Below are 11,274 nucleotides of genomic sequence, written 5' to 3'. Positions count from 1 at the left end.
CATTTAAAAGGGGTTTTGTGAGCTGGAGAGAATCAAGAAAGGATTGGAGCAGTATGTTTGGAAAGGAAAGAGTAGAAGAAGAGGAGAAGACAGAAGCTGAGGTAGTGTGATGTGAGGATACAGAGATGGGGCATTTACGAATCTGGTTATATGAGTTTCCAAATTTCATGGTGTGGTATCTAGTAAATATGCTGTAGTGGACCAAAAGGCTTTGCACTCAGGCACACGCAGGTTCCAATCTTTACTAATTAGGAAACCTTGGGCAAGTCTATAAGTCTCTCTGAGCCTCAGTTCTTTCATTTGTAAAAGGCAAATAATAATATATATCTGAGAGTTATTTTTATGTTTAAATGAAATGACAAAAGTACATGTGCCGATGAAATGCTGATTTCTCTTGCTCATCTTTGTTTGTTCAGAAAAATACATCTCCAGGGAATAAAACAATAAGAGTATTTTCTTTTTACTCCCCTTTCTCCATTTTAGCTTTAACTTTTGCAAATAGATGTGATTACAGAATCTCAAAGTTGAAAGGAATCTTAAAGATACACAATGCGTTATAGCAGAAGAAATTTAGAGATCATCTAGTTCAGCTCTCCCACATTTTAGGTCCAAAGGTAAAGATATTTCTCAGTCACAGGCAAGGTAGTACCGGGATGAGGATGTAGGATGATGATTGGGTAGGTCATTGGTCTTAGTCTAAGTCCTCAGTTCTAGTCCAGAGGTGGGACAATTGGAAGTTCTTCCTAACTCTAGAATAAAATGCGTAGATGAGTCTCAGCATCATGTCTTGCTTTGTGCTGTTACACAGGCTGATATGGTTTGGCTCTGTGTCCCCACCCAAATCTCATCTTGTAGCTCCCATAATTCCCACATGTTGTGGGAGGGACCCAGTGGGAGATGATTGAATCATGTGGGGTAGGTCTGTCCCATGCTATTCTCGTGATAGTGAATGGGTCTCACAAGATCAGATAGTTTTCAAAATGAGAGTTTCTCTGCACAAGTTCTCTTTTTTGGCCTGCTGCCATCCACGTAAGATGTGACTTGCTCCTCCTTGACTTCCGCCATGATTGTCAGGCCTCCCCAGCCATGTGGAACTATAAGTCCAATGAACCTCTTTCTTTTGCAAACTGCCCAGTCTTGGGTCTGTCTTTATCAGCAGCATGAACACAGACTAATACATAGGCCATGCTACGTAACTCTATGAGCCTCGGTTTCCTAAAAAAATATACAGGATTATTGTGAGGATTGAATGAGATGATATATTTAAGATACTCAGCACAAATAATGATGGAGACAAGTAAAGAGTACCTGTTAAATTATGATGATCGTAATTTAACAGACTAATACATTGAAGGAGTTGTTAGCAGAGGACAGAATCAGTGTTTATTAAATGTTTTCTATGAATAAGATGTTGAAATAAATAGGGACTTAAGCTTCTAAGCAGGCATCAGTGTCCCTATTTCCTAGCTGCAGAGCCAAAAGATCATCTCTATAGAATAACTTGCCTCAGATTTCAGCCAGACTCTCAAAATCCACACTACCACAGCTGCTACAGAGAGTTAGAATAAAGTCAGACCAAAGGGATGTCTCCTAACAACCCTATCAGTGTAAACCATGCATTATCATTTAAAAAAAAAAAAAAGGCAGCAAATGAATGGCTAACCTGAATTTATCCACCGAAATATCACTTACCAAATGTTCTGTAACCTTCCTATTCTTTGGTGTTTCTTTTTTCTTTTCTTCTTCTTTTTTTTCCATGCAGAACAATTTCCAAAATGGGCAAAGAGCACAGTAGGTGGCTCTCTTTAATATTTCATGGGCAAGGCAACAGTGACTCACCAGATCCTACATCTGTGTCACCAGCAAAAGCCTGATGAAGTTGAGCAACAAATGAAGCTGTGTATAGGCTGGAGATAATCTTTGTTTTTTTCTACGTCCTCTGATTTCCTCAAGCCACATTCTGCTTTCCTAACCGTGCCAGGTAAGATGATGCTAACTGCTTACCTATAGGAGCAAACATATGCTCCAAAATGCCAAAAGCAAGGAGCAAAATGTTCCTTCTACATCTGCGTTTGCAAGCCTGTGTGCTTGCTACAAAGAAGAGAAATCTAATGGCCTATGAGAAGTCTCAGCAGATGAACAGCCCCACTGCCTGGGCCAGAAACAGATCCCTTCATCTTCCAACATGAGCCTCCAGCCATCACTTTCCACAAGGAGGAGTGAAACTCCAGACAAGTAATCAGCACCACCAGGAAGCAGTGGTCTCTTTCTGCAAATGCCACCTTTGCACATTATTCTGTCTACTCTACTCAGTACCCACAAAATTGTCAAAAAAAAAAGTTGAATAATGCCATGGACACTCATAACATTTGTTGTTCAATCTTCTTCCCAGCCTTTGAACTAGCATGAGGATGGCAGAGGGAAGAAACCACTCACAACAGGAAGAAAAGAGTGATATAATTCTGTACTTTATGTCTTCTTAGTTAGTACCCTTTCTCTTAGGAATCAAAGGTGTATTACATCCAACACAGGAGAGTAGGAAGGTTGTCTTAGAGACCATTGCTTTAAATACCCTCTTATGACAGTTGGCTCCACTAAACTCTACAGAACTGTGCTTAAGGATTGTTCTCTTTGCAAGAAAATACCTGCTTTTCAACAAAAAGGATATCCTGAAATAACCAGACAAATAAGGTCAACTTTATAACTGAAGTAAATTGTTAAATATCTCATTGGCGAGGAAACAGAGTGTGATGGGAAATGCCCTAAACTAGACATGAAAAGGTGTGAACTGTATTCCCAGAGTTGAAACATACTAACACATGACCTCTAGCAACTTTTCATTTCTCTGAGTCTCATTCCAGTTATGTTCTAAATAAATTGAGACTAGCTAAGAAGAGATATCATTTAATGAGCACCTATTCACTACATGTACTTGACATTATTCTATTGAATTTATTCGTTATACAGATTTTTAAAGTAAGCATTTTTTTTTTCCATTTTAGAACTGGATAAAACAGAAACTTCAAATGATTAAATAAACTGCTCAATATCACCCAACTACTCAGGCATGAGAGCTGGAATTTGAAATCAAGTAGGTCTGACCACAAAACCTGGGCTCCTTCCTCTATTAATATTCTTGCCATGTCCTCCCAGGGCTATTGTGAGTAACAAGGAGTATCATATATACAGAATGCACTTTGGAAATTTTAAAGTTCTATACATATATATGGTTTTGGTAACAAGTAATAATCTGTATGAAGATATGGGTATAATTGACCAACCTTTCTTTGAAGAATCAGAACCAAAGGAATTAGCTTTTAATCTCCCTTCCATCCTCATGATCTGACCTTATTTTGAACATTTTCCTTTTCCCCCACAAGGCCCCTGTCTCTCAGGCACACATTCAGTCATATCCCAGCCAGCTCACCACAATGCATGTACATGGAACAAGCTGATAGAAGCAGGTGATCCCATCCTTTACTAATGCTTGGTGCGGGAGGTACTTAAGTGGGCACCACTGGGCTCTTATCTTCCATCAAGATGTATCACACTCTGTTCTCAAGCACTTACCAATACTGCATACAAATGCTATGGCCTGTGAAGGAGGCAGCCAACTACAAATGCTGGACACTCAATTTAAGGACGCATGGCAAAGCCAGTAGATAGTAGTAAATTATTGCATGAAGTTCATCAGAATAAAATCAATTGTCATGAGAAGGGTTAAGGGTGTGGGAGGGAATCCATTTAACTTTAAAATACCAATAATACAGGAAGACTAGTGTGGGCATGTGAATGTCTGTGTGTTCGTGTTTAAATAAGGCAAGTTTGTGTCCAGAAAGGTTTGCATTTAGCAGCATCTCTGTACAATCCAAAAGAAATATATGAGAATTTTGTTTGTTTTCTGATACTAGATGAAAAATGTAAGGTTGCTCGACTGACCTAAGAGAGCAAGGATAGAAGGCTTAGAATAATCTGTAACACAGCTGCAACTTCCAACTTTGTCTTCTTGTCTTTCTGCCTCTCACCCATTTCAAGACCCTCTTTGTCAATAAAGGATGTCTCAGATCAGGGCAGTTCACAGGCCTGAGGTTTGACCTAAAAACTAGTAGGAAATTCATATCACCGAGAAACATCAATTTTACATTTCGAGCTAAGCATCCATGATCCACATCACATATGGACAACATTCAGAAAATTCTTATTATAAAAGAGTTGCTCAAATTCAAAAGAAGAAAGACACCACATTTACAGATTTTTTTAAAATGCCTCTGTAAGATGGTATGAAATCACCTTTCTGAAAACCCACTGTCTGCAAGGTTACTATGTAACAATATTTACAATAGTTGCCATTGGTTTTGAACCAACCAGATGCCAGGCCAGGCACTGTGCTAAACATGCTACTTGAATGATCCCATTTCATCCTTCCAACTACCCAAAGGGCTCATTGTGACCATTATAAATCTCCATTTTTTGGCTGGAAAAAAAAAAAAGGAAGAAAGAAAGAAAAGAAAAACCCAGTATCGGAAAGGTGAGATAACTTGCCCAAGTTCACACTGCTAATACATGGAAGAGCTGGAGTCAAAACTCAAGTCCTCTTTCTCATCCAGTAGCTAAACCAGGGATCTGTACAGCAGAGCAGCAGAATGCTTCGCGTGGCGCCCTGGTTCACAATTTCACAACCAGAAGGTGGAGGGAAGACAGGCTGTGGGCTAGCTCTTAAAGGAAACAGCCGAAGTTTGCTTTTATGTTTGTGATTTTCTCTTTAACTCAGCTTCCTTGCTCCCTCTCAGTATTTAGAAGAGGGAAGGGGCTCTATGGTTCCATGAAGTCAGCTCTTCCCAAGTGAGGGGCACCCTGTGCCCCACAGGGCCACTAGCTCCGCTTCCTCCGGGGCTGGGAAGAAACAGTACCATAGGAGGTCACTGGCGCCCGGGCCTCGCTCCTCTCTCCCCGCGCTCCTCCAGAAGCTGGTCCGACACCCTCTGAAGGGGCATCTTTCTGAGAAAGCAGGTCAGGGGAAGAGGGAGTGAGGCTGCAAGCAGCATTTTCCCAGGCTGTCACAGCTCTGCGCTGAGAGCGACGTGATACCGAGTGGGCGTGCTGGGACACACCGCTTCCTTCTGTCCTCGGCGCTTCCAGCAGCGGTCTGGAGAAACCAAGGAGGAGATGGGGGCGGGGGGTGGTAGCGGGGAGGGGGCGGTGAGGAGGAAAACAAGGGTAGACCCCTCAAAGGGCTGAGGATGGGGGCGGCAACGAGCAGACGTCCCACAACCGCGTTACTTAAATCCCTGCAAAGCAAAGATGGGTCTCTGAACGTTTGGGTTCGAATCCGGGCTCCAGTCCTAACTAGCAGTATGACCTATCCCAGCCGCTGCCTCGTTCTGTGCCTCAGTTTCCTCTTCTGTAAAGTAGGAGGGTTTAACGATAGGATCTCTAAGAATCCGTCTACCCTGAGATTCTGCGGCTTGGTGACTTCTGAGCCCTCACGGCGGCGCGAGACTCACCTTTCTTGGGAAGCTGAGAGGGCGCAGCAAAAGCAGCCGGGATGGGTGCAGTGTCGCCGGGCACTGCTTCCTTCCGCGCCTCTGGCCAAAGCGGACCCCGGAGACCTGGATCCCGGCAGTCTTCCCCAGTGAGCCTCTTACTTTCCGCCGCACTTTCTTTTCCCCCTTTGGGGCTCCTCCCCCGGAGCGGCGCGATTGGCCACGGCCTCACGGCTCAGGCTCCACCCGCCGCCTTGGCTCGCGATCCACCGGCGCTCTGGGCTTCCAGGAGCTGCGGCCGCGGGGCGGCGTCCTGGACGGTCCCGCCCGCCGCCAGGAGGCGCGGCGCCGGGCCCGCCTGCGGACGGATGCAAGGCTGCGCTCGGCCCCTTCGGCTCCCTGCCACCGCCTGTGCGGGCTTGAGCGCGCGGGGAAAGGAGAGGGTTAGTCCTGCAGCGCAGCTCGGCACGCTGCCAGGCGCTGTGGGAAGCTACGCCCCTCACTACACACCGAGGCGCACACATGCGCTCATTGCAAGATCGTGCTCTCGCAGTTGAGATCGGTGCCACCCTGCCCTTTCTTCCTGTCTCGACGTATTTAGCAATCATGCTGCAAGGCCTTGAATCAATTCAGACTGCACGATTTTCGCAACCACCCTGTGCCGGCACAGAGCGCGGCAGGATGTAGATGCGATCTCCGCAGTCCTGAGCTCTTGCTGTCTTGAACTGACATTCATATGAGCAAGCAACAGGACATGACAGCAAGACTAAATCTGTATTGTCCACTGGTAATATACCCATTGCCTAGCACAGTGCCTGGCACAAAGTAGGCACTCAATACATGTATGGGGAACGAATAAAAGAACTAATAGGTTACATAGAAGGAAATAATCTCAAAACAAATATTTGCCTTCATTCATTTCCATTTCCCCAAGTTTTTGCAAGAGCCTTCCTTCAGCTGCCCTCTGCCACTGTAGATGGTAGTCTGTAATATATCCCGGGAAGCGTTATAAAGGCTTTCATTAAGTCATCTCTCTTGTTCAGGCACCTTCTGCTGTGTTCCTACTGCTAGTGCCTCATGATTTTTCCTGACTGGCAAGGCCCTTCATGACCTGTCCCCATTTCTGAAACCCCCTAACCAAAGCCACCTACCAGACTGACGAGTCTTCGCACATCTTCTTGCTCATCACATCTTCTTTTCTCCTCCTCCTACCTAACTGAATCCTACTAATTTATTTTCAAGAATCAAGATTCAGAGAAAGCATTTAAGGAAAAGGAGAAAAAAGATGTGAAATAAGAAAAGGGCCCAGGTGAGTGGGAAGGAAATGAAACCAGCAGGTGCCCGTGCTGCTAAAGGTGCACAGCAGTACGAAACTCAGAGGCTGCCCCTGCCCTGGCGGAGCTTCAGTTCCTAAGGTGAAATATCAGTGTAATTGGAGCCATAGAAATGTTCATGATACTTTACTTCTTGACATCACTTATGAAAATTAATTGCTCAAAATTTTTATTTATCTCAGGATACCTGGGACCCAGCACCTGCTCACAACATTGTCACTGAACCAAAGAGAAAATAATCCAAAAGAATTTAAAATGTTACCTGTATGAAGCAACAATAAAACATTTTCTGATTTATTATTCATTCCTTAAATATATTCTGGGCACAGACTTTTATATATATATAGTACACTGAAGCATTTACACAGTGCTTACAAAATAAAAAGGTGCAATCATAAGGACTTTGTGTATATTAATTCAGGTAACCCTCAATACAACCTGGAGGGTGCTATTATTATCTCCAGTTCATAAAGGAGATAAAGGGAATTTAAATAACTTGACCAAGGCTACAGGCCTACAAGTGGAGAATACAAAATGAGACTAGAGACACTCGACGTTCATGCTCTCAGCCGCTACTCAGTCTCATGTACTACCTAGAAGCCAAACAGATGCTAGTAATTCAGAATTGAACCAGATGTATATTCCCGGACATTGAAGGGCTACTCATAGCTTAAGGAAGATAACATTAAGATGAATAATCATATAGACAAATATTCATAGTATATTGTAGTTTGAACACAATATAAATGGTTGGAAATGAAAATGATTAGTTAACCAACGCTGTCTACGCACAGAATAAAATATTTGCATCATAACTATCATATTATGGAAATATGTCTACAAAGAAAAAGGCTTACAAAATAAGGTTGAGTAAAAGTTGTGGAGAGATGAACACCAATTGAAAGGAATGTGAAAAAATGTTGATATGTTAGGATTACAGAAATAGAAACATCTCTTTTTCCTTTTACATTTAAGTGAAATAAACCAAGCACAGAAAGACAAATTTTGCAAATTCTCACTCACACGTGGGAGCTAAAAATTAAACAAAGGAACTGAGATATGAGAGTAGAATGATGGTTACCAGAGGCTGGGAAGAGTAGCAGAGGCAAGGGAGTTGTGGGGAAGGGAGGATGGTTAACGGTTGCAAAAATATAATTAGCTGGAATGTATAAGACCCAGCACTTGATAGCACAACAGAGTGACTACAGTCAACAATAATTAATTATGCATTTTAAAATAAGTAAGAGTGAAATTGGAATGTTCCTCAAAGAAGTGACAAATGGTCAAGGTGATGACACCCTGTTGTCATTACCCTGATGTGATTATTACACATTGTATGCATGTATCAAAACATCACATGTCACCCATACATATATACACCTATTATGTACCCGTAATAATTAAAAATGAAAAAATGTTATGCTAACAATTGAGAAAAATATTTTAAAGCTATACCCATTAAATATCCATCACATACTAAACATTTGATGAATAATAGTTGCCTAAATGAATAAATGAAGCTACAAATTCATTGATGTCAGTGACTAATACTGCTGGATGTATAGAAGATGCACAATAAAATATTTTGCAATTGATTGATGTATTTGGAAAGGTATTATTATTCTCTTCTTCTCCCAGCTTTTACCCTCCACCTTTTTTTTAGGTTATCTTTAATTATCTTGCTGTAGCTGTAAGACGCATCAGGAGTTTGCTAGTCTCTTGAACCCAATCCATTCAGACATTTATCTCTACCACTCCACAGTCAGCATCTGTAATGATCTTCACTTTGCCAAATGTGGTGATCAATTCTCTGTCTTCATTGTACATGTATCAGCAGCATTAGACACAGATAATCTGTTGCTCTTTCACACTCTCTCGTACTTGACTCTTTGTTTTTCATGTATTTCATCTGCTGTTCCTTATCAGATTCTTATTGAATCCTCTACCTCTTCATGATCTCTGAAGGTTCCAGTGTCCTAGAGCTCAATCCTTGAAGTGGTTATATTCTCTACCTAGGGGAACTCAGACAGACACATGGCCTTCTAAAATATCAATATGATAATAACTTGCAAATCTAAATCTAAAGCCCAAACCAGACTTTGTATACCATATTACCTCCTTCATATCTCCTTCTTGGATGTTTTAAATACATCTCAAACTTTACATGTTCAAATTCAAACTTTATTTCTGCCCCACACCAAACCAGAGCTTTGTAAGCAACACTGTCTTTTACCCAGTTGCTCAGGTCAAAAAGTTGGAGTTATCACTCTCTCTCATTGCCTGTACACATTATATCCACAAACCTTCTGCTTCCTCTACATTCAAAACACATCTCAAATCCAACCACGCTATTCCTCTTCTCCATCACAACCACCATGGTTCAAGTCATTGCCATCTCTCCCCTCACTGGTGTCCCTGCTTAAACTCTTACCCAAAGAGTCTATTGCCCTTACTTCAGAGACCCTTATAAATGAAAATAGAATAAATACAGGCTAGTGATTGAGGTCAAGGAATCTGAAGCCCGACTACCTGGGATCAAGTTTACATAATGTGGTCAAGTTACTTAATTTCTTTTTTTCACAGTTTTATTCTCTGAAAAATATGAATAACAATGACAATAATATACATTATAGTGCTGTTTTTAAATTAAATGAGATTATATAAGTAAAACACTTGGCATGGGGATTGGCATGTAGAAATGCAATATAAATATTCATTATTCTTTTACAAGAAATATGTCATTCTCTGCTTTCAAATAGTGATTTCTTATCATGATCAGATAAATTTCCATAGTCATTTATGGCCTAAAAGTCCTTGTGTGGCCCTACATGATCCAGCACTGAGTTGCTTCTTTCAATCTCCCATAGCATGCTCCTTGCTGTCGACCAAACACACTAACATGTTCCCATACTAGGGTGTTTGCACCTGCTGTTCCCCCTTGCTGGACCGCTGTTCCCCTGTTGCTTGTTCTCTCCTCTTACTCACATCTTCATTAATGTCCCTGCTCCACTATAACCTTCCCAGCAAAGCTTTTCCTGACAACCAAGTCAAATAATACATTACGTAACATTTTAATTAATTTACTTATTGAATGCTGTTTTCACTAGAATGCTAACTCCGGGAGGGTAATATAATGTTTCCCTGGCAAACAGACAATATTTTGCACGTAGTACTCATTGAATAAACATTTGTTGAGTTACAATTCAGTCCAAAACTCTCATGGTTAAACTTTGATACAAAGATATTAAGTGACTTATATATCGCCCTCTTCCTTTGATTTACATTTTTTTGGGAGATCAGAATCATTGGAAGACAAAAACTAAAACAACAAATTATATATATATATATGTGTGTGTGTGTGTGTGTGTCTATATATATACGTATATATGTTTAATATATATACATATATATACGTATATATATATACACGTATATATATGTGTATATATTTGGCTGGGTACAGAGTAAAGAAAGCACATTATAGAGACATTTTATTTTGAGCTTTTGGAAGGAAGGTGAAGGGCAGGAGCCAAGAGAAAAGAAAAAAAAAGTGAAAAAAGGAAAAAGTAATTATATCACCTTCCAAACCCTTTTACGTTTCCACCTTTTATACCCCTCAGCTCTTTTCTCCTCCATCCCCAGCTGACCCTTGTACCTGTTCTCTGGGTGTTCACATTTCCCCTCGCAGCACTTAGTTATGCCTGCCCCCACTTCCTCTGTGGTGCCCTGGGTTTCCAAGTCAGGTATCCCTCTTCCTTTTTATTGCATCTGTTTCTGACAAAAGCCTCTCTTCCTTCAGTTTGATTCGGCTAGGTGTAGGGAAATAAGCAGATTAAACAGTAATGATAAGGTGTTGATTACTAAGAGCTCAACTCTACCTTGTTGAAGAGATATGCTAATTTGTTCAAACACATATACCCAACTATTGAAATTCAAGTCGTTTGGAAGAGGAAATTGGAAATTTGACTGTGCAGTGGGAGGCTTCACTCATTTCTTTTCTTTTCCTTTTTTGTTTTTTTTTAGACTGAGTCTCGCTCTGTCGCCCAGGCTAGAGTGCAGTGGTGTGATCTTGGCTCACTGCAACCTGCGCTTCCCAGGTTCAAGTGATTCTCCTCCCTCAGCCTCCAGAGTACCTGGGACTACAGGTGCCCACCACCACTCCCAGCTAATTTTTCTATTTTTAGTAGAGATGAGGTTTCACCATGTTGGCCAGGCTGGTCTCGAATTCCTGACATCAGGTGATCCACCCACCTCGGCCTCTCAAAGTGCTGGGATTACAGGCGTGAGCCACCGCGCCTAGCCAGCTTCACTCATTTCTATCCTTCAGACTCACTACCTGGGTTACATGCAGTCCTGAAAGACAAGAGGGGAAAGGGGAACTTCTGGAACCCTTCCAATCTCTATTTATCTGCATAGGGTTGAAGCTGACTCCCATCACAGGGCACTACTCCCACGTG

General features: G+C 41.7%; 1 protein-coding gene across 17 annotated transcripts in view, besides 4 other annotated features; it reads right to left on the bottom strand.

The window, feature by feature from the left end:
- IL1RAP (interleukin 1 receptor accessory protein) overlaps positions 1-5,639 on the bottom strand; it is a 145,666-nt gene extending 140,027 nt beyond the window's left edge. For all 17 annotated transcript variants that reach the window (NR_157352.2, NR_157353.2, NM_001167931.2 and 14 more), the window contains exon 1: positions 5,505-5,639. The gene's annotated coding sequence lies outside the window, so the exon portion shown is untranslated. The remainder of the gene's footprint in view (positions 1-5,504) is intronic.
- Positions 4,449-4,948: an enhancer, noted in NCBI's record as "H3K4me1 hESC enhancer chr3:190232565-190233064 (GRCh37/hg19 assembly coordinates)". NCBI's record gives its function as "activates a minimal SCP1, AML or CMV promoter by ChIP-STARR-seq in primed H9 embryonic stem cells {active_cell/tissue: H9 hESC(primed)}" and the evidence as "EXISTENCE:reporter gene assay evidence [ECO:0000049][PMID:30033119]".
- Positions 4,949-5,450: an enhancer, noted in NCBI's record as "H3K4me1 hESC enhancer chr3:190232063-190232564 (GRCh37/hg19 assembly coordinates)". NCBI's record gives its function as "activates a minimal SCP1, AML or CMV promoter by ChIP-STARR-seq in primed H9 embryonic stem cells {active_cell/tissue: H9 hESC(primed)}" and the evidence as "EXISTENCE:reporter gene assay evidence [ECO:0000049][PMID:30033119]".
- Positions 5,703-6,052: a silencer, noted in NCBI's record as "silent region_15002". NCBI's record gives its function as "represses an Ori minimal core promoter by ATAC-STARR-seq in GM12878 lymphoblastoid cells {active_cell/tissue: GM12878}" and the evidence as "EXISTENCE:reporter gene assay evidence [ECO:0000049][PMID:35858748]".
- Positions 6,203-6,292: an enhancer, noted in NCBI's record as "active region_20986". NCBI's record gives its function as "activates an Ori minimal core promoter by ATAC-STARR-seq in GM12878 lymphoblastoid cells {active_cell/tissue: GM12878}" and the evidence as "EXISTENCE:reporter gene assay evidence [ECO:0000049][PMID:35858748]".

This window comes from Homo sapiens, chromosome 3 (genome assembly GCF_000001405.40).
Source record: "Homo sapiens chromosome 3, GRCh38.p14 Primary Assembly".
NCBI lineage: Eukaryota > Metazoa > Chordata > Mammalia > Primates > Hominidae > Homo > Homo sapiens.
The sequence above is the reverse complement of the archived record's forward strand: the minus strand, read 5'-3'. Positions and strand labels throughout refer to the sequence as shown.